The 27,819-nt window shown below is 41.9% G+C and overlaps 1 protein-coding gene across 8 annotated transcripts in view; it reads left to right on the top strand.

Moving 5' to 3' along the window:
• Positions 1 to 27,819, top strand: part of DAB1 (DAB adaptor protein 1) — a 1,551,949-nt gene that overhangs the window by 1,456,331 nt on the left and 67,799 nt on the right. For 6 of the 8 annotated variants that reach the window (NM_021080.5, NM_001379462.1, NM_001353983.2 and 3 more), the window contains 5 exons: positions 17,982 to 18,113; positions 18,755 to 18,874; positions 19,335 to 19,373; positions 20,971 to 21,036; positions 27,453 to 27,512. In NM_021080.5, coding sequence (NP_066566.3) covers positions 17,982 to 18,113; positions 18,755 to 18,874; positions 19,335 to 19,373; positions 20,971 to 21,036; positions 27,453 to 27,512 — 417 coding nt within the window. The remainder of the gene's footprint in view (positions 1 to 17,981; positions 18,114 to 18,754; positions 18,875 to 19,334; positions 19,374 to 20,970; positions 21,037 to 27,452; positions 27,513 to 27,819) is intronic. The other 2 variants (NM_001379461.1, NM_001353986.2) reach the window with 1 other exon arrangement.

Below are 27,819 nucleotides of genomic sequence, written 5' to 3'. Positions count from 1 at the left end.
ACTTTTGCGGATTAATTTCCTGAAGTGGGGAGAAGACATTGAGACTAGATACCCTGGATTTTCATCCTTGTGCTTACCTGCTTGCAGGTGCAACTGGTGAAAGAAACATTCCCTTCAGCAGGGGTCTTTGTTCTGCTGCAATTAAGGGCTCCTCGCTAATCCTTCTGCTTCCCAGATGCTCTTGGAGCCAGCTGTATTTTTAGCACATCTCTTTGATAAGCTTCACTCTGAAGACTTCCTATTATTCATTTCAAAACTTGACAACTCCTATCACTTTGTCCCTCATTGCATTCTGATACACAAAGAAAGAATGCATTGCAGCAGTTTCAAGCCAAGTTTTGCCTCTGCTCACTTGAGCCCAGAGCTGTGAAGGTTTCTTCTGGCCACATCCCCTTGTTGCCCCATGCTGGGTGTCGGCTGTGTCACAAGGACTCACTCAGTCACATTCTTATCTGCCTCGTATTATAAAATATGCAATTATATATTGTGTGTAGGTATAGTCAAGGGGGCCACAAATGCTCTTGTGTGTTCACAAACCAGCAGTCACAGTACAGTTCTGGGACAAGACTGTAAAGCCTGTAGAAATAGAGCAGAGATCAATATTTCTTACATCAAATCATTTACTCAATGATATGTCTTGAATATATGTCCCCATCAAATCTCATGTTAAGATGTAATCCCCAATGTTGGAGGTGGGGCCTGGTGGGAGGTGTTTGGGTCACGGGGACGGATCCCGCATGGCTTAGTGCTGTCCTTGTGATAGTAAGTAATTTCTTGCAAGATCTGGTTGTTTAAGTATGTGGCAGCTCCCCCATCCCTCACCCCCACCTCACTCTCTCATGCCCCTGCTCTGGCCATCTGATATGCCTGGTCCTGCTTCACCTTCCGCCATGAGTAAAAGCTCCCTGGCCCATCTCCCTTTTGTTTTGCAATAAGGGGTTGCTCTGGAAATTTGCTGAGCAGATGCTGGCACCCTGCTTGTACAGCCCGAAGAACAGTGAGCCAATTACGTATCTTTTTGTTATAAATTACCCAGTCTCAGGTATTTCTTTATAGCAATGCAAGAATGGCCTAATACATTCCACAAACACTTACTAAGCATTAACTTTGTACCAGGATACGTTCTAGGTAAGGGGGTATATTGTACATAAACAGAGAAGTTATTCCCTCATGGGATACACTTTGAATAGTTTGAAATAACAATATAACATTTATTAAGCACTTTCTGTATTCTGGACACGATGCTAAGCAAGTCACGTGTAATTTCATATAATTCTCATAACAGTTCTATAAGGTGGAAACAGTTATTCCCATTATACAGGTGAGAAAGGAAAGTCACAAAAAGCATAGGTGTTTAGCCCAGGTGTACATTGCTTGTGAGTGAAAGGCCAGCGTTTGACCTCTGGCTCCAGGGTCTGTGCCCTTAACCATTGTGCTTCACCGTTCCGGTCCTCTAGCCAGACTGCCTCACATGCCAGGGTGACAATTAGTAAAAGAATGTGTAAGGCACTTAAAGCCGGGGCCTGCATCTCAAGCTATAGGTGGAGATGATTATCGCCTGTGTGGTGTCAAAGATAAACACAGCTGGACATTCACAGTTAAAGCAGTGAAACAGATTTTATTCAGTAACAATTGACAGTAGAGAAAAGAGCTGAACTACATTCCGATTTGTGCAGAGGTGACTGGGCTGTTTCAAGGGAGAATGAGAGAGTGGGAGGGGAAATAGTGAGAGCTTGAGTAGAGTCAGGGAAGTGAAAAATCCCAAAAAGCTGGAGGTGGGCACTGGGAGAAGGGGAAGTGGTAGCAGGTTGATCCATGTGAAACCCATCTGGGTAACTGGCATTTATCAAACTTAGGCTCCTACCCTCCAAAGAGTCTGGGAGATGGGCCCAATCTTCAGGTGTTGGCTGAAACAAACAGTAAATTCCTCTGGCAGCTCTGAGTTTTCTTAGGCAGGCACTTTAAGGGAGACTAGGGCCATCCTAGGGACGTGGCTTTGATCTCTTAGAAACTCAGTGTTAGTGGGGCCAGGCTCACTGGCTCACGCCTGTAATCCCGACACTTTGGGAGGCTGAGGCAGTTGGACCACCTGAGGTCAGGAGTTCAAGACCAGCCTGACCAACATGGTGAAACCCCGTCTCTACTAAAGATACAAAAATTAGCCAGGTGTGGTGGTGCATGCCTGTAATCCCAGCTATTCGGGAGGCTGAGGCATGAGAATCACTTGAACCCAGGAGGTGGAGATTGTAGTGAGCCGAGTTTGGGCCATTGCACTCCAGCCTGGGCAACAAGAGCAAAATTCTGTCTCAAAAATCAAAACAAAACAAAAAAAGAAACTCTGTTAGTGTTTGTTTACATCTTTCTAGGCCAAGGTTGAGGCCTAGCGAAGAAGAGGGCTCAGAGGAGCCAAGTAGAGCTTGGTCAAGGACAGAATCTTTGTCAACAGCGCATCCTACTTTCCATTGCTGGTCTATTATGATCCCTGCACCAGCTCTGCCAAGTAGGCTAGCCACTGACATTCTTGCACAGATTCATCAGTGGAAGCCCGGACAGGTTAAAGATAGGTGGCTAGATAATGAGTCATTGCAAATCAGAATAGCAAGTCTTCTGAGCAAAGGGAAAGCAGAGAAAAAGAGGCTCAGGGAGCACAGAACAGAGGCAGCTAATCCAACTGGAGATGGAAACCCTTTCAGGAGTTCCAATGCCAGTCCTTCAGTGGCTCAACCCTGAAACCTCAACAGAGTTTTCAAAATGACAGGCACAGGCTTCCACATTTGGGCTCAGTCCCAACTCTCCTTCCGATTGCAGAGAGAGGTTGCTCTGGAAAGTCATATGGAAGGGCCCTACAGATGACCTCAGACAAACACCCTCTCAACACCCACGTCTAGAACCCTTCAGAATTTTCTGGAGCTGCCTCCTTCTGCCCTGGCATTTGCACCCACTGCTGTCTGTGCCTTACAGTGTACTTCTCTCCCCTTCTCCCTTGGTGACTCCTTATTTCTTGTGAATTAGCCCGAACGTTTTCTCTTCCCGGCATCCTGCCCCAGTGAGGCTAACTTGCCCTGATTACGTGATCCCCCAGCCCAGGCTCTGCATCTCCATCTCTCTGAGAACTTGCCATGCCCTATTACAGTTGCCCATGCACCTGGCTGTCTCCTGCAGGTCGTGTGTCTCTGGAGGGTAGGGACTGCTACTGGTCACATGTGTTTTCTATGCCCTGTGCCTTTCTGGCATGCAACCCACAGCAAGCTTTCATGGGTTGTTTACTGAAAGGACAATGGATGAAACATCCAGGTTACATAGCTCTGTGCCCAGGGTTCTTGCTGGCCCTCTCAGATCCCTCTCAGTCACTTACCTCTGCCAAACACCCAAGCTTACCTTGCAGCCTTCAAGGTGGTGCTCTGAAACAGTATCCCACAAATGGGGACATCGATGGACACCACAGATCTTTGACTTCCCCAAGGTAATAATACAGTGGAGAAGAAAGTAGCAGAGCCAAGGAATGACCCAGACCCATTCAACACTGACACACGTGCTCACTCATCAATTTCACCGTCAGGTGTTATAAAGCCTTATGCTATTAGTTAGGAAAACACATCCAGTTGTCTCCAAAAACTGCCAGTGCAGCTAATTAAACAAAGAGGCACATTGCCATCACCACTGTCACCACCCCCTGACCCCCTCCCCCCGCCATTCAGGTTTTTTTCATGTGTGTGTGTGTGTGTGTGTGTGTGTGTGTGTGTGTGTGTGTTTAAGACAGAACCCCTGTCACCTGTTACTAAAGAACTTTGAATGAATTTCTGTGGGTCACGGACTGTAGACCAGGAAGCAGGGATTAGGCAGTGAGGGGAGGCAGGATTTATCTTCGGCTCACAAACACTTTGCCAAACTGTCCCCAGACCAGAGAGTCTGCTTCTTTTATAACCCAGAGAAAAAGAACAGTTGCTCAAGTCCAGCTGCAGCCTGGCCAGGGCCCTCAGACCCTCTCCTCCAGCAGGGAGAGCCAGGTTTATTTGTAACCATCTGTTCGCCTATGAACCAACCTCCCCGATGCTTCAGCTGAGCATCCCTTGGCACACTGTGTTAGAGAGAGCCCTAGGATATGGCTTCCATCGACGGGCACCCAGCTGGGAGGGACAGCTCAACTCTCTGTCCTCGAACCTGAAGAAGGACTCTATTTGCAGCATGTGGGAAGGCTTAACTGCAGCAAAGATTAACAGCAGGGTCAATTAGAAAGGAGCTGACAATTTCAACCACTCCAGTTTTTTAAACTGGCCTTCAAAATTCTGCATCCCCTGACCCCTGCCTGTCTTGTCACCTTCAAAGACTGTCACTCACTGCCCAGCATTTTATTGCCTAATAATCCCATACTGATTGCAGTTGCCTATATAACATGCTGTTTTATAGCTCTGCAAGTCATTGCTATCCTTCTGGATAGAACATCTTGATCCCCACCGCTCCCACACTCACTAATTTTTATCTAGTCAGTTCCTACTAATTTAGTCACTTCAGACCTCCATGCTTACCCTGGCTATGCCTTTACTATTGCATAAACACAATATTCACTTATTCACTCCGTGAATCATTACTGAACTCTGCCACCCCCCGCCCCCAAGTGTCATACAGTGTGCGAGGAGCTGGGGATGTGATGGTGAGCCAAAAACGAACATGGGAGCACTTTCCTGTGTCTCGTAGAGGCAGCAGATATTAGCCAGGTAATTATACACATGAAGGGATCATTAGACTGTGGTTTGTGTTAGGAAGAAAAGGAATGGTTTCTTTGAAAACATTAACAAAGACACCTGACCTCCCTTCTCTGCTGTAGAGTGTGAGCTCCTCGGAGGCAAGGGCCTTGCCAGTGCTTTGCACCCCCAGCACCTAGCACAGTGTTTCTGGATCAAGGCAGATGCCCCATTACTAGAATTGAGTCCTGGGGGCACATCAGAGCTGGGCCAGTAGCGGGCAGTATTTGATGCAGAATGCCTAGGTATTTGATGCAGACAGCCTAGCTTCTTCACATCTGCCCTCACTTGGGCGCAGTTGTCTCTAAGTCTGGCACAGAGATGAAAATCTATGCCAGGAAGGAGGGACAAGAAGGCAGACAGCTGGGCAGAGCTTGATGATCACAGCCCTAAGGAGATGACCTGATGTAGTAAAACGGGCATGAAGCTTGGCATCAGACTGGCCATCAGCCTCAGTGCTGAATTTCACCATTGATGAAACATTAGACAAGTTGCTTAATCCCCCTGAACCTCAGTTTTCTCATCTCTAACAGGCAAATGGTAGAACTGAGGGTAAGAATTTATTAATCTGCATCAATTTTGCCTGCTGAGACCCTAAGGTAAGTTGAAGGAGATGGCTACAGAACGGTGTTTGGTGCATTTTCACAAAAGGGGGCGATTTGGTGCTAATTTCTTTTACTGACAGTTCATTTTCCAAGGCAACAGCCTAACAAATCATGGGGCCAATTAGTGTAAGAGAAACAATTGATCCTTGTACTCAGAGAGCTCAGCCCACCACCTCAGTGGTTTGGTGGTGTATTTGGGGACTGCTGCACAGCACTAAATGGGAAATAATTGGATAGATGCAGCTATAAATTGCATGGCACTGCACTACACTCTGTGTTTCTGATTTAAGTAGCAAGTTCTGTCAGTAACAGAAAAACAAAAAGGTTTGTTATTCTGCATTGAAAAGCAGAGCAGAGCTGGAAGGGATCATTCCTGCCCCTTCATTTTACAGATTGAAAAATTAAGGCTCACTGAGAGAGCAGAAAGACGAAATACGTAGAATTTAATTTCATGTTGGTTTCTTTTAACCCTTGTCTCATCAACAGTTTATCTTGGCAAACTCCTTAAACAAAAGGACCTGAAGATAAAAATAAGAAGATGGCTGTATTTAGTTTCCAAGGGCTGTTTCTCCAAAGTACCACAAACTGGACAGCTGAAACAACAGAAATGTTTTGTTGTATAGTTTTAGAGCCTGGACATCCCAGATCAAGGTGTCTGCAGGGATTGTTCTTTCTGAGGGCTGTGCAGAAGACTGGTCCATGCCTGTCCCCTAGCTTCTGGTGGATTGCTGGCAGCCTTTGGCATTTCTTCTGGGCATATCACCATGATCTCTGCCATCATCTGTATATGGCCTTCTCTCCATATACATGTCTGTGCCCAGATTTCCTTCTTTTATAAGGACACCATTCATATTGAATCAGTGGGCCACCCTGTATGATCTCATCTTAAATAAATACTTCTATAATGACTCTGTTTTTAAATAAGATCACTTTCTGAAGTACTGGAGTTTAGGACTTCAATATATGAATGGGGGTTGGGGGCATAATTCAACACTTAACAATGACAAACAATTTGGATAGCAGAATATTTGAGCTGGAGAGCAACTCCCATTTACTAAACAACCTTTGTGCCAGGCGGAACGCTAGGCACTTTACCAGCATAATCACATTTAATTCGTACTTCAATTGAATGAACTCACAGATGAGGACACTAAGGTTCAGAGAAGCTAGGTGATTTGTCCAAGTTAACGAAAGTAGCACACATCAGATGTGGGTTTCAGATGCTGACCTGTGTCTACTCCAAATCATGCCTTACCTCAGCACCCTCAGAAGTCATTGTTTGTCACGACCACCACCTGCTATCCACCTCATTTTACAAATGAAGACACCGGAACTTGGAATCCCAGTCGTCTCACTCCTAATGCAGCATCCTTTCCATTGGCTGCATTTTAGTCAATTCACTTTTTTGTAAGTTTCTGTCTAGCATGCAAGACATCATTGTGACCAAGGCAGAGGTTAATTTCAGACTGGGTACAACACAAAAAGTCATTTTCTATTAAATATAATGACCTCGTTTCTGCAGTGACTTGTGGCAAAACATGCTGTTTCATTTCCATTCAAGCGCATTCATTTACCTGCTTTCTATAATAATTTTACACCATGAGCTAAAATGTTAAAACCATTGGTTACATTACTAAACACCCACAATGGTTATTAGGATTCTTCATGCAGAACGAAACAGAAATAAAAATAAGGATTTTAGAAGAATGAAAATATAGGCCATTAAAGTACATTTGAAACTGTATTCAAGTGCACAGAGGCTGCCTAGAGTCTGGAGCCAGCCATACCTGGCAGCAGTCCAGGTCTGCCTTATGGGCTGTGTGACCCGGGGCAAGTTACTTAACCCTTCTGTGTCTCAGGTACCTCCATAGTAAAGTAGGGGAAATAATAGGCAAGGTTGATGGGTGAGTGGAAGTGAGGATTATATACGTAGAGTACGTAGCACAATGCCTAGCATATAGCAGGAACTCTATGCATAGCAACACCTCCCCTTTTTTAATGTAGTGAAAATAAAGTTTGAATTCTTATGCATGTTTGGAGAATCTTCCAATTTTGGGAATCTGCACCCCGACCCACTCAACCCCTGGCCCAGAGAGTCAGGAGTACAAATTGTTTCCATACTTATTCAGCCTGAACTTTGAAAAATGTTGTTGCTGAAAATAGAAAAGTACTGGCTGATAAAGGGGAACAAGATTATGTCTTTTGCAGGGACATGGATGGAGCTGGAAGCTGTTATCCTCGGCAAACTAACACAGGAACAGAAAACCAAATACCGCATGTTTTCACTTATAAGTGGGAGCTGAACAATTAGAACACATGGACACAGGGAGGGGAACAACACACACTGGGGCCTGTTGGGGGATCAGGGGGAGGGAGAACATCAGGGTAAATATAGCTATGGGTGTGGGCTTAATACCTAGGTGATGGGTTGATAAGTACCACCATGGTACACTTTTACCTATGCAACAAACCTGCATGTCCTGCACATGTATCCTGGAACTTAAAATTAAATTAAGTTTAAAAATATACAAATAACATAAAACAGAAAAAGAAAGATACTGGCTAATATGTATTGATGCAGGCCGTGGGAATACAGAAGGAACAAAGGAAACTGGCAACTCTAACATGAAGCACTTCTAAGCACGTGTGTCTTCTTAAAGACTCTCTTATGGTTTGGACCAACGGTTGACTGAAGTGGAAGTGATAAAGGTCTTTTGTCTGCAGCTGACTTTCAGTTAAGTCATTGAAGTGCTCAGTACCTTGACTTCTCCTGTTCTCAGAGAAAGGGAGAGGGAGTGGAGGTAGAGAAAGGAACATGCTAAGATTTAAATTTTTTTCCAACTTACCATGAAAATGCTCAAACACAAAATGTAAAAGGATAATTCTAAAACTTAACCTTTTGCCGTATTTGCCTTCTCTGATTCTCTCACTAGATAGGTTAAAAGATCAATGGATAAATAGATAGCTAGATAGTAAGTAGCTATATTAGGTGTGCTCATAGCTACTGGGGTTTCATTGCTTCTATGTCCTTTTGGTGAACAGTGCTAGGAGTATGTATTTTAATTCAAGTTTGTATTGACATTTCTAATTCAAATTTAACATTGCAGAGTTATTTCTTAAGTTTTTAAAGTATTTGTGTCTCATTTTTCTTTCACTGAAAATCTTGTTTTTTTAATAGCAATATATTTATGTATGTGCTTTATCTTAATATATAACCAAAGACATTTCATGATTATAATTCCAATATTAATTAGTACTTACAATAAACCAGGCATACACTTGCATGTCAATGAAACTTCCTCAAAGCCCAGGTCAGCCTCCTGCTACCTGAGCAGGTCAGTTCTCTTTGAGCCTGTTTCCTCCTGTCTAAGGTAGGAATAGTGATGACTATTATATTGTTCAGAAATCTCTCAGTTGCAAGCGATGGAAAACTCACCTCAAAAAGTCTTAAGCGACCAACAAAAGGAATTTATTTATGTAACTAGAAATTACAGGATTAAATGAAAATCCAACCTGAGAGAATCCAGGTTCTCAGATGACATCATAAAGCTTGAAACTCTAACTTTTAGCTCTTTTCTTTTTCTGATGACTTGATTTCGAAGTGTTTCCTTTTCTTATCATCCTTTAGCCACTGCAAGACCATTATCTTGTGAGCTCCAAGGAAGTCCTCATCTGAGGAAACTACTGTTGGTGCTTGAACACTAAATTATGTAGTCATTAGATTGAGAACCTTAAACTCAGTTGCCAGGGAAAAGACCCAAAGTGCAAAGAGCCTACCATCTACCAGATGCTCTGCTAGACATGTTAAGTGATCTTCCTTATATCCCTATGAGAAAGGAATCATTCCCATTTTACAGATGAAGAAACTGAGCCTCAGTGAAATAAGGTGACTTGTTCATGGCCACAAAGCCATGGAAGGATTCAAATCCTTCTATATACAGTACATGCCTTCTGGAAATGGGGACAGGACAGCACAATATACAAACTATATGTTTAGTAAAATAAGGAGCTCCCAACTTCCATATATGCACATGTAGTGCCAGCTTTAGAGAGCCAGGACTGCATCCTACTCATCTTAGTGTCTCCAGAACCTAGTGCACCTTAGCACCTAAGGGCTTTTGGGGAATGAATGTGAGTTGAATGAGACAGAACAGTTATTCTATCCCGCTACCAACTGTGATTATACGTAGCCACATCCTTAATCACAGGACATAGATTTTAGTTGAACCCCAGTGTTAGGAAACTAACACTGAAGCAATTTTCCTTATTTAAGGTGTGTGTGTGTGTGTGTGCGTGTGTGTGTGTGTGTGTGTTGTAACTTCTCTTTAACAAAATATGCTTCGTTGTCACTTTGGTGATTGCTAATTGATTAAACACACCTGGCTCCACTTTGCCTGTTAGACAAATTTAAGCCCAACTCACAGGTCTGGAATACCCTCAGCTGGTTAACTAGTGCATCTCCCTATATTTAGGCAAGGAATTCATGCACATCTTTCTAGACTGGTGTGTGTATAGCATATGTTTAGAGAGCTGCTAAGAAGAAGAAGCTGACTTTTTATAGCTGTTGTCTAGTTATGAAAATTTAAAAGAAATTAATGAAATTTTAAGAACAAAAGAGGACATGAGTATTTACTGAATTCCACCTCCTCGTTTTAATTGTTGGTGAAACAAAGGCTTAGAGAGGAAAACGGATAGGGAGTCAGTGGAGTTCAGAGAGAGACCTGGACACAGGATCCTGCTGACAGATTCATTCATAAAAATGTTTACTGACAAATTTATAGAGATAAAGGAGAGTGACAGTTGCCAGGGGCTGGGAGGAGTAGGGAATGGGAAGTTGTTTAATGGTAGCATGAGTTTGGGAAGACAAAAATTTTCTGGAGATAAATGGCAGTGATAGTTGCAGAACAATGTGAATGTGCTTAATGCCACATTACTGAATACTTAAAAATGGTTCAAATGGTAATGATAAATTGTATGTTATGTATATTTTACTATAACAGTAAAATCATAGATGTACAAAACCCTTATTGTATACATCAGGCACTGTACTTGATGCTTAGGATAAGAAAAGAAAATGCTGCTGCTGCCTCTAGTGGCGGAGGCAGACACTGATCAATTCATCCCCATACATAATGGCAAACTGAGGGGTCTCTCCCACTCCCAGTGGAAAAGTCGAGGAAGTAGAGAGGACTTGCGTCATGGGAACCTGGTCTGCGCTGGAAGGTCAGGGAAACTTGCAAAGAGAAGAGACATCTCTGCTGAGGTCTGAATGGGAGAAAGGAGTTGAGCTTTCTAGGCAACTGGAACAGCATATGCAAAAACCTGAGCGTGGTGCATTTGAGAGACTGTAAAACACCAAGGTGGTGGGGAACAAGGGGGCCTGTAGTGAGTCAGCATGGGGAAGCAGCCAGGTCCTACAGGGGGCTCTGCAGGCCCTGGCAAGTATTTTGGTCTTTATCCTAAGAGCCATGGGAAGCTTTTGCTGTGTTTTAAGTACTAGAAAGATGTATCAGATTTGCCAGGTTTTCTTCTCAATCTCTTCATCCTGTGGTGTGACTGTCAGAGGAGAGGCCAGCATAAGTGGATGAGGAAGGACTGAGGATACTGCGGTAATCCAGGCAGGAAATGATAGCTGTGTGACCTGGCATCTGCTGGTGGAGATGGAGAGGAGTGGACAAGCAAAAGGTACTTGGAAGGTGAAATTGACAAGATGGACTTGTTTTTGGGGGATAAGAATGAGGGAGACTGAATGGGCTCAAGGAGGGTTAGTGACAGTGCAGGCATTAAATTCGAATATGAAAGAAAAAACCATCTTATTAAACAGCATTTTGATTGTAGCAAAAATTAGCATAAATAAGAAGAAAATTACTAGTAATTCCACCACTCAAGAGAGAACTCTTGTTATGTACACATATATGGATATGTGTACATTTTTTCAAAAACAGGATCATATTGAACATAGTATTTTGTAATATGCTTTTTTCACTCAACAGGATGTTGTGAATATATCTTCAAAGCAAAAAATACCACTTCCACAAGATCATTTTTTCGGTACTGCTTGCTATTTCATCTTATAGCAAATCCATTTTCTTCAGCCAGTCAGCTAATGCTCAACATTTTTGGACATTTCTAACTTTTCACCATCCTAACAGCACTGCAGGGAATATTTTGTACTCAAGTTTTTGCCCAGATATTACATTCTTTCTGGATAAGTAATTAAAGAAGAATCATAGAGCCGGCGTATGCACATCTTTAAAGCTCTGAAACATACTGCCAAGCAGCCTTCCAGAGAAGTTGCACCAAATCACACTTCCACCAATAACAAAACACCTATAATGGCTGACAGGTACCAACCTTTATAAATGTGCCTTGCACTGTTCTGGTCACTTTACATATATTAATTTATTCATCCTCATAACAACACCATGAGAGAGATACTATTATCATACTTATGTTACATGTAGCAGACCAGTAGCCCAAGAAGATACCTGTTTCATCACACTTTGGTCAATATTGGGTATTATCTTTTCTGTTTTTTTCATTCTGGTGGCAAAAATGGTATCTCATTTCATATATGTTATATGAATCAATTTAATATTTCCAATAGCATTTTGGGTTCCCATATCATTCTTTGTATTATACAAAAAGAGAAAAGAAGTCTCAGAAAGTTAGAGTGATGTGTGCAAAGCTACACATCTAGTAAATGGTAGAGCTTGGATGTGAATTGCATTTCTTCTGATTCCACAGTCCATATCTTTCCTCCATTATCACACCACCTCTTCAGCGAGAGACTACGTTATTTGGAAATCTGGTCTTGTCCTTGAGTAGAAACTTCTAGAAGATTTCAGGATGCCAACCCAGGGAGCACTTCACTCTGACCCACTCCATTGAGTGTTTGATGATGGGTTGCCTGGGGGCTGGTGCAGAGGTTGCCTCATTGGCACCGTGATGTAGCAAGCACATCCAAAAATATGTTAGAAAAGAGAAAGGCCTTTGTAATGAGCCTGGGCCTCCCTTTGTCTTGTGAGGTTTTAACTACTGTAATTGCTTGTAGTGTGAAGTAGTGTTTTTTCATGTATCTATTTTTATTCTGTGTCTCTCTGCTTTTCTGCTTTTTTGTTTTGTTGTTAACTCACTTGATTCCTGTTGGGTATTTTTCCTGTGAATAGTATTGCCTCGGGAAAGCACACACTCTCACACACACACATACACACACATACTAATAATATGAAGGCTAAATAGGGTAGAATTTATTCTTTAAAAAAAACTAATGGTAAAATCTTCAGCAGATGACTTTCTAATCCATACTGTATTTAATTGGCTGTATTGAACCATACTACAAATTAAGTCTTCTCTGTAATTTATTCTGTCAGACAGTAACCCTCCAAACAATTTGATACTTCATTTAAACACTGGTAAATGGCTCATGGAAATACAAAGAAAAAAAGATTTAATGATGATCAGATAAGAAATTCTCTGTTCACAGAATGAATCCTGTGTGAAATGTTATGAATTAACCTGAATCATTTATTCATTGAACATGTATTGAGCATCCACCATATGTAGGGCTTATCTTAAGGTGACTTGGTCTTTCTTTCTTTTCTTCCTCCCCATTCATTTCCTTCATCCTGTACTTCCTTTCTTTCTTCCTCCCTGCCTGCCTTCCTGAAATATTATGTAACACTTACTGTTCAGAAGGTGCAGTATTAGGAGCGGGGGTAAGATTGAGAAGAACCAGACATGGATCTTTCTCTGAAGGGCCTAACATTCCTGAAGGAGAGAGAGAAAACATGTGCATAGATGTTCTCCACAAGGTCCTGTTCTCAGAACCTAGCTGCCTTCACACATTCAGTTCTTTCTGCCTAAAATGCCCTTTCTTCCTTATTTTCTGGAGACTTCCCATCTATCCTTGGAGCCTCAATTCAAGGTCACCCCCTTCGTCAAGCCTTCTTTGATGCCCTTCGCCCATTCCTGCCCCAAGCCTATGTGACACACTGGGCACACTTTTAATATAAAGCTTGTTGTATTATATTGTGATTGCTAGTTTCTTTGCCTACCTGTTTTATGAGATTGTGAACTCCTTGAAGAAGGGACTGTGTTTTATTCATCTGTGTAGCCATAGCACATAGCAGGAGACCAGCAACATAATAGGCACTCAATAAGTACACATGCTGTGAGTAACTGGATGAATGGATAAATGCGAAAGAAGTGCAAAGCATCCTGTGTAGAAGGACAAATATAATGCAGTGAGATCTAGGGATGGGAATTATTACTCAGGGAAATGGGGTATCAAGGTAGGTTCCTTGGATGGGCAACATGTCAGAGCTATGCCTTCCGTCATAGGTACACTATAGTTCTCTGAGCTGATGAAGCGCAGGCCAGGGCATCTGCAGAGAAAACCATGTGAGCAATAGCACAGAAGTGGGAAAGCACAAAATTCAAAGGGAGAGTAATGAGCTCCTCAGATTATTTGCAGCACAGGTGACCTGAAGTTCATGCATAGGAAGGTCAGATTGGATTGAGGACATTGATACCTGGATTGTCCTTGAAATTCTCTAGTGACAACTTTTATCCATGATGCAAAGAAGAGTTCAGGATGGGGAGAATACATAAAGCTGTGGCAGAGAGCTAGGGTGTTCCTGAAGGCTCTACTTTTAAGACAAATACCTGCTTTGATTTTGGCAGTAGTTTAATATCTAGACTAAGTTTTCCCAAGACAATAACGGTTTTCAAAAGGAAATGTGGAAGAGGGCAACCAGCATCTGCCTTTCCTTCACCCTCTGCCTCCCACTCCGGCCGGTATTCTCTGGCTGTTCTCCCAGCCACCTCCGGAACTACCTGCAAGGCCCCAGGAACTGACTGCAGAAGCACTCCTGGGATGGAGCAGTTCTTATGCCCTAGGACCATGGGCTGTGCCTCACCTTTCTGCCTCTGGCTGCTCAACAGGTGCCAGAGACAGCCAATTCCTGAGAGTAAACTTCAGGGCCATGCTGTCTTGACCTTTTTCTTTGAGAGCCCAGTGGCCAGCCTTTACCCCAAGCCCTCTGATTTATGACCCTCCCTGATCTCAGATACCTGCCTGAATCCAGAACATTCTCAGTTCTCTCCCCTTACCCAGTTCTCTTCTTCCCTTGCCTTCCTCATCCCAGCTTATCAAGGGATCATCTTTTTGTTGTTGGTTGAGGGAGCCAAAAGTCTAAGGAAAGGAGACTTTGATTCTGTGTAATCTAGTTTTCTTTTTTCAATGCTTTGTCATCCTGAGTAGGAAAAACACCTGGGTTTAGTATTGGTCCTGGCGTTTCAATCTCTGACCTTCAGTCCCTTCATGAATAAACTCAGGATTGATGTTTAAGATTCCAACTGTCTTTGATTGTGCTGATAAATTCTACTTGAAGACATGGGGCAATCTTGAGGCTCAGTGAACAAGAATTTGCATGATACTCTAAGTTTCTAAAGCGAATGTGATAATGCAATTGTAGGATTAGCAGAATTCTAATGTATTTGTATTTCTAAGTATCTATGTTACGTCTGCATGGTTAAGGTTGCAGAGAGGGAAGACATAGCCCCTCACTGACTCTTATTTCCGAATGAATGAGACACGTTCAGAGCAATCCTTTTTAACATGTCATAAAATTAACTATGAGAGAGAATAATGTTACAAATATCTTTAAGCACTTCACGCTCACACACACAGCTACACTCTGCAAGACAGTATTAGGTATCATCAGGCATTAAAAATGTTTTGATTTTAAAACACTTAATGAGGATTCCCAGATAAATTAAAACATCTCCATCTGCTGTCTTGCCTGGTAAGTGATATTTTACCATTGCACAATCATCTCCAAATCTAATTCCACCAGGAAGACTTCTAATCGCAGCTTAATTTTAGAGCAATGTTCTACTTGGCAATCAATAAGGCACTGTCATCAAACTTTGATTTAATAGGAAACGTGGATAACATTCTCCACATTATGCAGCGAGAGAGATACTTTTAGGAAAGGAAGAGAAGAACATCTTTGTCTCCCACTTTTCCCTGCTGCCTACCATTTTAGCGCACAAAAGCCTATAAATCAATGCCCCCATGTTGTGCGAATGTAAATCTCATCAATTTTACATCATTAACACCGTGAAAAAGCTACCACTGTTTGAGCAATTTTCCTCTGCTAGCTAAATATGTCCTCTTAATAAAACAAAAATTAATGGGTCCTAATTATTTTGCTAGCAAATATGTCCTTCTCTGCCAACTTATTTGTGTCAAAAACCATTAGACTTATACATTCGTTTTATTGCCACTGGAGGGACTAGGGTAACTGAGCAGTCATACTACCATTTAAGCATGATATCCAGTGGCCAGTGGGCAGCCTGGGCAAGTGTGAAGCCATAGAGAGAGTTCTAAGAGTAGTCAGAGAGGTTAGTGAATGATCAGACCCTGGAAGTTTAAGGTAAGTCAGAAAATTCTGCTGCCACAAATGATTTATAAGGTCAAATGCCTGGAAAGATTGCATCCGGCCAAGGGATGGACATTTTAGAAGATCAGTGGTCTAGAACTACGGCGATGACCATCGTGAAATCCAGAGGCCCACTGTGCCAGGAGGCTGGTTTTGTAGTGAGTGGTCCTAATGGCTTAAAAGGATTTGGGAAGATGGAATAAGAGCTTAGAGAGTATCTACTCCAGTGGTTCCCAATGTTTTCATAATTTTCTCTCTCCCTCCATGGACTCAGTAATGGGGAAGAATCTGTCTACCAAAAAAACTGCATTTGTAATCATCCATTTTCCTATTTGGACTATTTAAACCATAACTAAGTGCCAGTAAGAGAATATACTCAAATATGAGCTAAGGAATATTAGCAACACTAAGCTGATATAATTCCAAATAAATGGCCGGTGCAGTGGTTCGCACCTGTAATTTTAGCACTTTGGGAGGCCAAGGCAGGTGGATCGCTTGAGCCCAGGAGTCTGAGACCAGCCTGGGCAACATGGTGAAACCCCATCTCTACAAAAAAATGAGCCGGCTCTGGTGGCATATGCCTGTAGTCCCAGCCACCCAGGAGGCTGAAGTGAGAGGATCACTTGAGCTCGGGAGGTGAAGGTTGCAGTGAGGCAAGATTGCACCGTTGCACTCCAGCGTGGGTGACAGGGTGAGACCCTGTCTCAAAAAACAGAAATTCCAAATAAACTTGGCATTTTCATTTGCATGCACATAGAAATATGTAGACTTATTAGGAATAATTACATATTTCTGTTTAGTTTTTTGAGATTTTGAAAATTGCATGGGGCCTCTTTTTATTACATTTAATGACCCCTAAGGATCTAGGGCTTTGGCTTATGACCCATTGATCTGGTACATACCTCCCATTTACTAGAGGGTTAAACTTGAGGTACACAGGGGTACAGTGGGTGCCTTGTGTTTACACAGTAGCTGGAATTCAGGCCTCCTGATACCCAGTATAATGAAAAGGCTCTTTATAAGGACTTTAAACATACCATAAGCACCCAGATGAATATATAAGCCTTTACAGAGTACTGTTGAATGAGGATTGTTTCAAGTAGGTTTAGTATAGGAAAATAACCGTTAAGATCACCATTACCCGATAGGATGGTGAACATTATTTGTTGAAGCTCAGATAATGAAGGCATGAAGGTGAATTATAAAAGATTTTCAAATTACTAATTATCAATCTCAGTTTACTTTAGTTCAACAACTATAGGCCAGGCATAGTGCAAGGTGCTAGGATGACAGAGATAAGGAAGACAGAACCGGGTGGGAAAGACAGACAAGGAATCATGTAAATATATCAGAGAAGGAAGACCTGTGAGAGTAAGGAAGTTCGTTCCAGGCACGAACATTGGAGGAATTCATCAGTTCAGTGTCATTAGAAAGTAAAGTTCTACAGATACACAAATGAGGGTGGAATTATTTCTCCAGGGAGACAGAAGGCATGCCTTGTTCAGAGGAAGTTTCACTCAGGTGGTACTATTTCATACGGCCATTGAAAGAGAAAGAGGATTTGGGCAAGTGGATAAAAAGAGTTGATGTTGCAGGCAGAGAGATCTACCAATGAAAAGCCTGAGATATGCATAGCCCCGCCTCTACCCCCAGTGGTGACTTTGGGCAAAACAGAGAAAGGCATTTATTCCTCAACACACTCTATCACCATCAGCTGGAAAAGTGTTGTCACCATGCACATGTATAGTTCTATGAATGTTAATAATACTCCCTGGAGTTGTGTAGTGTAGCTCCTCCACCACAGCACACACGGTCCCCGAGTATTTAAGTAAATTAAATATCAATCCAAAAGTTGGACTGGGATGTGTCATGTAAAACGATCAAACAGAAGCCTACCCATTGAATTAAACTGGCTGGCTCTAGCAAGCTGAATAAAGCCACTGTTGCAGATGCTTATTCAGCATATGAACAATCCTATGTTTCTCTCTGGTCACAGCATTAAGACCATAGAGGGAAGCCTCCATTTCTCAAGGACAGGCATAGCTCTTTTTCTTTCCATCTGGACTAAACAGCTTTTCCAAAGCCCTTCGGGCCTGTTCACACGTAGCTGAAACACATTTCTTATTGATCAACAGCTCGAAGGGAAAGTCCCCTGAAATATGTTCTTCCTTTTTTTTCTCTGATAGGCCCTTCAGCATCATCATGCTGTTCATGAAATATCCTACATTGCAAAGGACATTACAGATCACCGGGCCTTTGGATATGTTTGTGGGAAGGAAGGGAATCACAGATTTGTGGCCATAAAAACAGCCCAGGCGGTGAGTATCCCTATCCAAGAAGGGAGTCTTTCCTTGGAACTCTGGGGGGACAGTCCAGTGACTCCGTTGGTCTTTGAGGGCCCACTCTCAGATATGACCAAGCAATGTATTTCCACTGAAGTTGATGCTCACATTCCCATCTAGAAAAGATAAACAGCCTTGGAGCAAGGAAACATGCTCATACCCATCCAGTTTTTTCTGTTTTTTTTTTTTTTTTTAACTAATGGGTATTTCCTAATGACTAATTATTTTCCTTTCTGGTTAAACTGGATGGAGGCACCGTATACAAATAAGTTTCCTTGCGTTCATAGCCTCATTTAAAAAGAAAATAAGAGAAAACAAATAGCTGTTTTGCATAAGGCCTACCCTAATTTTATTGTATTCTAAATCACTAATAAATAAAAGCAATGCCTTTTATGCTTATGATTATTATGAATTTGCAAATATAATTAGTTGAAGAAATGAACTTTAGCCTAGATGCAATTTGCTAAACCAGTATAAACAAAGAATTAATTAAGAATGGAATGCTTTCAGATTAATAGAAAAAGGAAGGGCTGCGGGTTGTCGCCGCAAAAACAAAAATTTGTTGCTGCGTCTCAGTACCATTCCCTTATGATGTGCCTTACTACCTTTCATCCCAGGCTGAACCTGTTATTCTGGACTTGAGAGATCTCTTTCAACTCATTTATGAATTGAAGCAAAGAGAAGAATTAGAAAAAAAGGCACAAAAGGATAAGCAGTGTGAACAAGCTGTGTACCAGGTATACCTGTGAATTTATCCTTGCGCTGGAGATCGGGCCTTCAAATAAACACATGTAAAAACTGACAGTCAGGCCTTCTCTTCCTGCTGCCAAGTAGAAATAAACGAAGATGAAAGATTCCTGTGTAAATTACAGGACCCAAAGCAAGCCATTAGAAATTATTCCTTATTCTCTTAAACTCTAGACATGTTAGATGAAGTGAAATCTCGAATCCAGAGAAAGATTTCAGGGGTGGAGGACCCAAGAAACACAATTGCTTTTGCTGTTGTTAACAGTGCGGGTGGAGGTGGGAGTGGCTCTAAGGATTTTGACTTTTTTGTGTTTTTTCTACCTTGATGGCCCACCAGCCTCTTCTGCCCAGAGCTGGTTTCTTTACTGTCCTGTAATTTCTGAATGCAGTCTCACATCTCTTCCTTTATGTCCTCTGCTTTTCACCCTCCCTCTCCTTACTCTGCAATAGACAATATTGGAAGAGGATGTTGAAGATCCTGTGTACCAGGTAATTTCTGAAACTAGTCGGGGTTTTAGATTCAAGAGTGACTAGACCTGTGCCAGAGCCATTTTGTCAGAAACCTGAAGAATCCACTGACTGCAAAACCTGGAGAGAGACCAAGATTATTTCTGAGGGTGAGGGCTGCCAGCCCCTCCAGGAGCAAATTTCCATAAAAACTAACAGAAGTTTGGCCGGCATCGGTATCTTGGGATTTGGAGATCCGCTTCTCCCTTCTTGCCTCTGCCTCGGCCCCCTTCACAGTCTGTAAAAGTTTGATCCCAGAGCTGAATGTTTTCAAGAGTCTCTTGAATATTCTGAGTTCATTAGAGAGAATATGAATAATGAGGTGGCTTCTCTGAGTTAAGAACCAGAGGTGGGGGCTGACATTTTGGTAGCATTTTAGCACAGACCCAAAGGATGGTTTCTAAGCTTTAGAAAGGCTATGAGGAGGACTCTCTGACCCCCGATGGGGCAAGCTGACCCTCCAATTACCTGGCTCATGCCATAGGAGCTGTTGGGAGGAAGGAAAGAGTGACCCTAAAGACACTTCTGCCCCTAGCTTTCTCTGGACTCTCTTCAAGATCTGCAGCTCAGTGGTGGGTAGGGAGATGATCTCTCTTGAGGTCAAGCATGTGGTCTGTTCAAACAGAGATGCAGAAAAAAAGGGAAAAGACAGCCTCTCCCTCCCCTGTGCTTATTCCCAAGGTGAAAAAGAAGCCCAAAAAATGACTTATTGAACACAAAGGAAAATCTTGAACTTACACTTCTAACTGGATGCATAGGTGTTCTTTGTGTGTGCATGTGTGTGTGTGTCACATATGTATTTTATATAAATGCTTAGTTTCACACAAAAATCTGGTACTGCTACAATGAAAGTAAAATAATGTAGATGACTTGAAGTGGAAAAATATCTCATGTATACGGCAAACAAAAGCCAAAGATGCACGTAATGACGTGCTCTTGCTTTAGAATGCTGAGGGCCGAGGATTTGTATATAATATGAGCTTCACCCCCTTGCTCACTGGCTTGCACAGAATGAAGAATAATAGCCTTTTTGAAATGTCACAGTCCCAAAACATGAACTTGGAAAAATCGATTTAATGTATTTAAAAGTGAGAACGCAAAATAAGGTGATATTTATGGGATAAAGGAGTTTGGGGCTTCTGAGCTCTTCAGAGTTTGTTTAGGATTTTGAACCTTAGGGAAAAAGGGATGCCCCTCAACTGTAACCCATACATTACAAAGTTTGGGATCCCAGGCATTCCAGTGAGATAGCATTCTCACTGAGCAATACCAATGTATTCAGGTATTACTGAGACAAATTGCCATTGAATGAAGAGGTTATATCTCCAGAAAGATCTGCAGAGGCTCGATGCAATCACTGCTGAAATACTGACCAGCAGACCTCTGCAGTTTTCCTTATGAAAGGCAGGAATGTACAAGGTACATTTTATTTCAATAATTTAGTTGTGTCTTTAAGGTGTTTTCTCTTGTGCCTGCTTCGTTAATGCTCGCTGTGATTTGTATCTTAATTTCCAAATGCTTGTTTTACCTTTCTTCTTTTTCACCTCTGACCTTTCCTTTCTGGCTGCTCCTGTAATAGTACATTGTGTTTGAGGCTGGACACGAGCCAATCCGTGATCCCGAAACGGAAGAAAACATTTATCAGGTATAAAATTGCTTGCCTCTCTTACCATTGCACCACTACTAGTACATGCATAAATGTACTGATAGTCTAAAGAACCAAGGGTTCTGTTGGTCATTCCTGGCTTGTTAAAATACCTTTGAGTGAAATGGCTTCTAGTTCCCCAGCAATTTACCAGTAGTTTTCATGCCTTGTTGTTGATGTTTAATAGCTAGTTAGGTACAGTGTTTTACTTTTGAATGGATCTTAACTATTTTAAGTAGAAACAAAAATAAAATGTTCCATTTTACTAAAGTAATACATTGGAGAGCTGGTGTCCATTATACAATTAGGGTCCTTTATTTCTCAAAAGAATGTGCTTATCAAATTTCTTAAAAAGCCAACTCCGCTACTGAAAATAAAGCACAAATTTAATTTCAAATGATGTGTGAAAACAACATTGAGAATATTAACTGAATGAAAGTACAGCTAAAGGCTTTACCCTTATTTTAATTGTGCAAAGAAAACTGAACTTTTTAAACTCACTGAATTCTCATGAAGATGTTATAAACTAGATATTTTAATTCTGTTTTTATAGGGTGAGACTCAGAGAGAGAAGCCGAGTAGCTTTCTCGGGGTTGTACAACTATTTAGAGCCAAGATTCAAACCCAGGCATGGGTGTGAAGGCGAAGCTCTGCCTCCTTCTGCCATGGTCTTCCACCAAAGTGTCTGTGTAACTGCCGTATAGCAGCACATCAAATAGATATGATGACCTGCAACTTTTCACTCATTAGTATTGTAGTCCCAATTTGAAATAGAAACATTATAGGGGAAGAAAAAAAATTTGATGTATTTAATAAGTGATTTTAATTTTGTTAGTTGTGTGGCCTATTCTGCCTTGGGTGTGTATTACTTGTGTAATAAAAGTAAAACATATTTTCAATTTCTGTCAAATGCATAGAATTCTAAATGACTAAAATATAATGTTAGTTCTACCAACAACTTTGTTTAAAGTTGTCAGCCTTGTTGAATAATATTTTCTCTCCACTGGATCTATCTGGATTCCATTCAAATGTGAGGTTGTGCTTTGAGACTTTTTTCAAAGTTGTGGCTTACCAAGTATCTTTAATAAGAAAAGTTGCGTTTGTCCTGAGTGTCAGATTTTAAAGTATATACAACCTTACAGTATCTGAATATGAGGAGGAAAAAACCATTAACCAATCATCCTAAGAAGAGAGGGCCCCTTTTAAATAAAAGGAAGCTTTGCAGTATTACAGGTTTCTGAATCCAGACTTAGCTATAGTTGGCAGGGCTCCCATTGAGCCTTGTAGGATTGCAGTGGGGGCGGGGTGGGGAGGGAGACATCCTAGTGTACTGGAAAGACCTGCTTTAGCTGGTGGAAAGCTGGGTTGTAGTCCAGGCTCTCTTACCAACTACCTTTGGCTAAGTGGTAGTGGGCAAGGCACTTACCTTCTCAGAGTCAGTTTCTCCCTTGATAAAATAAGCGAACAATTGTTCCCTAACTCACAAGCTCATGTGTAGAATGGAAAGAAGAGGTGTCATCATGGGTCACAAAATGTGGAGTCTGGCTGTGTGGATTCAGTATTTTAGTACAAGTATCAACTCAGCCATTAATTTAACTGTCAAGTATTTTTTTTTCCTCTGGGCTTCAGTTTACTCATCTGTAAAATGAGCAAGTAAAATACAGGGCTCTCTCAGGCAAGACCCTTTTCTGTTTTTTGCAATTACCACTTTACCATAGGACTTTGATTTTTTTAGAGAAGCAGGTTAGCTTGTTTTACAGGATAATAAGACTCAGAAATGGTGGAGGTGGGAAAATTTGCGTGTGCACATGCGCTGATGGTGAGCCAACTCTGTTAATGGGGTTTAAGTGCAATATCTTATCTCTCACAACAACCCCATGTGGCTTGAATCATTATTCCCACCTTACAGATAAGGAAAGTGAGGCTCACAGTGATAAGGTAACTTGCCCAGGGTCCCAGAGCTAGCAATAGGTAGAGCCCCCACTGCAGGTCCCTCTGACCTCTGTAAATAAAGAAATAAATCCTAAGGCTGCTCTCAGCTCAGAATCCCCTGATTCTGAGTTTCACAATTCGATTCTAAGTCCCTTTCAAGTCACTATCTAAAAATCACACTTGTTTTAACAGCTCTGACCTCTAGATCTTCCCATCTGTCCATCATTAACAGGAAGCTACCATTTAAGGGAATGAGTATTTTATCTCCTTCTATTGGAAAGGCCTTTGGTCATTCTCTTCTCCTGCTCTGCCAGTCTGCTGGGGCTCAATTTACTTAATAAGAGATAAGCTCTTGGGCCTGAAGATAAGGCTGGGCTTTTAAGGGGCTGCTATTAGGCGCCTCATTTTTTTTTTAAGGGCTTGTAAGTGTTCCATAGCTATTTCTCCTGAATTGCAGTGTTTGTTAGTACTTCAGCTTGGCCCAGCCAGTGGTCTCAGCTTTTATTCACCTCCTTGCTTTCTGCAGTGAGGCAGACAGTCCTGGAGACCTTTAACTCTTTTGTGAACTTAAGTGGAGAACATAATTTTTGTATCTCAATTTCCTGGGCTATGAAATGGGGATAATATATTCTCTGCTCCTAGCAGTGATGTGAAAACGTAAAACGAGGAGGAGAGCAGTTGGTTCATAGTAGGTTCTGTGTAAACGTGAGTTTCCCCTCCTTCCTTGCGTGTTGTCAGTTTCAGATGCTGTTGAAGATGTCTTATGATCATGTTTTAAGTGAAATAGAACATAACTTGCTCACCACATGTTGTTGGAGAGCCTAGCAGAAATCCTCAAGCGTGCTTCACTTTCCTATTTATAACTCCAACAAAAGGGATACAGAGGCTTTTGAGTAAATGTAACCTCTTTTTTCGAGGTTTTTCTAATAGTCTTGTTTTCCCAGCTATATTAATAATAATAATTGCCTTTTGCTTTGCATGCCTCAGAAAAAGTTATCGGCTGTGTTGAAGTTATCAGCCTCCCAATACAAAACATTTTTACACATCACTTAATTTTGATCCTTCCAATAATGGTGACATAGGAAAAACAGCTACAATGACTATCATTTTGAACATAAGAAAATCAAGTTCCCCCAATTGAGGTGCTGAATACAAGGTCAGAACCTCTGATTCTAAATCTAGTGTTCTTCAATGCCTGAACAGGCTTCCTATATAAGCAAGATTTCAGCTTTCCACATGGTCATTTTCCAAGTTCATTCATTCAAAAACTACTGTTAACCATCCAATCCTTGTCAAGTATCGTTATTTTTAAATGATGAGTCTCCAGGAAATGTTACCCAACAAAGCCTGGAACTGCCTCTCCACACTATTAATTAACATGCTGCCAAAATAAAAGTAAAAGTGTCTTCTGTATGTATAGTACGGAATGTGCTGTTTTTAGAGTAATTTAACATCTATTCACTTACACACAAAAAAAAGATTATTTATAGAACAAATAAATGACTGGACACTGGGAAATCACATGCGTCTGGCACGGGGATGAGATGGTGACCATGGCACAGCCCTCACCCTCAGAAATTTATGTATAGCCCCCTTAGATGCTCACAATGGGCAGATGGGGCAACTGAAGTTCAGAGAGCAAAGCGACTGTCTGAGTCGCAGCCTGTGGCAGACCCAGGATTTGGAACTACCAGTCTTCTGGTTCCTTTTGGTCTGAAACTTTTATGTCTCTAAAACATTGTGTTACTGAAGCCTTTTGTGTAAACAGAATGGTACAGCTAAGCAGAGATGAGAGCCAGGACCATGCACCTTAGCACTCATGGGCTGAATGCTTGGCGATTAGGCATTTCTTTGTTTCACCAATATTTATAGCTGTGGATACAAGGATAATAAAATACCCCAACCTGCCCTCAGCAAGCTTATAGACCCTGGAACAGTTACAATGTGATGCAATAATTCTCATGATAAGATAAAGCACACTTTACACTCTATTTCAGTAGTCTGATTACTTTTCCATCTCCCCCAATAAGACAAGGAGCTCTGTTAAATCAGGGGCCATATCCATCATGTTCACCATCACTGTCCCAGGGAACGCGTGATGCATGACACATAATACGTGCTTAGCAATTTTTATTTTTTAATGAAAGAATGCACCAGAGGTTACCAGAATACAGGGGAAGGCTCCAAACAAGGCCTAGAGAATCAAGTGAGGCTTCCAAGAAGATATCCCAGCTGAGATAAATCTTAAAGGACAAACAGGCAGATTGATATCTCACCCATGGGAGAGCCAAGTAGAAAAGCGTTTTCAATTATGCACAGTTTGAGTTTATCCATTCCACTGCTTTTTCTCCATTTTTAGGGATAATTGAGAGGCAGCTGCGGTTCAACTGTGCTAAGTGCCCGTAGTGAGCAGTGAATTACGGGCAACAGAATGTTCTTCATTTTTCTCAGTAAAGGTTGAGCTAGTAAAAACAAAAGTGAGGGCTGGTAATTTATTGGCCCTCATTAACAAGGACTCTGTAGGCATTCTTAGAGGATTTCTTTTAGATGGAGCTCAGTTATCAGGAGCAAAGAAACGACATTCTTCACTGGCTACTTGCACAGTGAAGCTTGCAAGATCAGCTCTGGAAGTGTACCACTGACACGGCCATGCTCACTCAGTCCTGTTTTCTGCAAGAGTGTAGATGAGCTTCTGGGAACATAGGATGTGATGTCAAAGAAAAGGCCCACTTGAAACAACTGTCTGAATAGTATAGCAGTCAAATGGCAAACTCCCTGGGCTCAAGCTTTTGGCTTCCCCATTCACAGACTGCACTCATGGAGTGAGTTGAATCACACAAACTACTCTGTCCAAGGGCCTCAAGGTCACAGGTGTTCTAGGGCAAATATCTCTACTGCCAGAGATATTTTTCTCCTCTGCAACATGGGGCCAACTGAGTTCTTACCTGAAAGACTTGTCTTGAGGATTGCATGAGAATGTATGTAAGACACAAATGTTTAGAACAGCGCCTGGCACATAGGAAGCACCCAGTCCATGTTAGCTCACATTATTAATAATAGATGTCTTGTTTGGCCACCAGAAAGAGCTGGGTTTGAACCTGGTCACTTACCAGCTTTGACGATTTGGGCAAAGTCCCTAACATCTCTGAGCGTCACTTTCTCCTATTTAAAGTAGAGATGATACTACCAATTTCTTAGAGTTATTGCAAAGATTTTAAGTTAAATGAGATGAAAAATGTCAAAGGACCTAAGGAATAAGCTCAAATTCTTACTTCTTATAGAACAATGGTGTAGTTAGCTAGCTCAAGCCCAAAAGATACTTTTCCTTCACTATTCCCCACATTCCTCTATCATACGTTTACCATATGTCTCAGCAGACATTTACTGAGAGCCTACTGGGTGTTAGGCACTATGCCTGCTCTTGAGGAGCTCCCAATATGATGGAAAGAAAGGCATGTTGTCAGACCATTATAAAACCACTGCTGGCTGGGTCCTGCAATGGGGGTGTGAGCTAAGCTGTGACAGTTCCTGGGAAAGGAACAACTAATGGGTGCTTCCAATCTGGAATCTTTCAGTGAAAACCCTTGGTTGACTCATTTGAAAAGTAGTCAACATATCCACTATCGTTAGTATCATAAGATGTGTTCGTATATATTTAAATGATGTGTCAGTAACTAAAGTAATTCTTCTAACACATTACAGTATTATGGTATGTAATAGTGTTGTGTATCTAATATCCATTTTCTTACTCCATCCTCAGAATAACCTGAGTAAGAGGCAGAGCTGATAGTAGTGAAGCTCAGAGCTCAGTGACCTGCTCAGCCTGTCACAGTTAGCTCATAACAGTGAGACCAGATGGATGAGTAAGGGAAGGGAGGAAGATGCAGATTAATGTTAAACGCCCTCAAGATCTTCTGCGTACTAGGCCCACACTTTCCATACCACTCGTGGGCCTTTTTCTTCAATGAAAACCTTCCATAATTATCAAATGGCTTGTATCTGATCCCAGTAGAAGCTGTGCTTTGTGCTAGGATCTTGATATTTGCTATATTTTAAATAGCCCAGATCTCAGCCTCAGCATTGAACAGTTTAAGCTCAGCTGCAAACTGTTTTTAATCACTTCAGGAACAGTATAGCACCTCCCTACGCCTCATTTTTGTCTAAGGAAATGAGGATTTTTTTTTTTTACCGCATGACTTCTGAAGTCTATGTAAGTTTCTAGTCTTTGATTCTGCGAGAAGCCCAATGGCAGAGACGACCTATAAACCTTTGTTAAATGATGCCCACTCCCTGTCCCCATCTGATGCTCCTAAGGGAGGGAGCCTGGCTTGATACTTTCACAATTAGAGCAGGTTCCCATGGGCTTGTCCCTGGGGCCATTCTCAGGCACCCTTAGCCAGCTTGCAGTTGAAGTCTGGTTGCTTTGTTCTTTGAAATTGGAGTACCAGAGTGTTTTGACTGTGCTGAATTTAATTTTTCCATAGGTTCCCACCAGCCAAAAGAAGGAAGGTGTTTATGATGTGCCAAAAAGTCAACCTGTAAGTGTAAGTACATCTCCTCTCCACTGCCAGGTTTCCGTGACCTGGATTCACACTGAGGCTGTCTACAGCCTGCGGAAGGAAACCCTTCTCCTGGAATGAGTGTCATGGCCCCACATGTTTCTGCTGGGGACTGCATGCTGGGGCATCTTCAGTGGGCCAGAGGAAGGAGACATGAGGCAGAAATGGTAGCACTGAGGAAAAGTTGCCAATCTGGATGAAGGTCTGGTCCCATGAGTGGGAGTGAGTTGAATCACGTGAACTACTCTGTTTAAGGGCCTCAAGGTCATAGGTGTTCTAGGGCAAAAGTCTC

The sequence above is a fragment of the Homo sapiens genome, chromosome 1 (genome assembly GCF_000001405.40).
Source record: "Homo sapiens chromosome 1, GRCh38.p14 Primary Assembly".
Lineage (NCBI taxonomy): Eukaryota > Metazoa > Chordata > Mammalia > Primates > Hominidae > Homo > Homo sapiens.
This window is presented reverse-complemented; position numbering and strand designations above follow the sequence as displayed.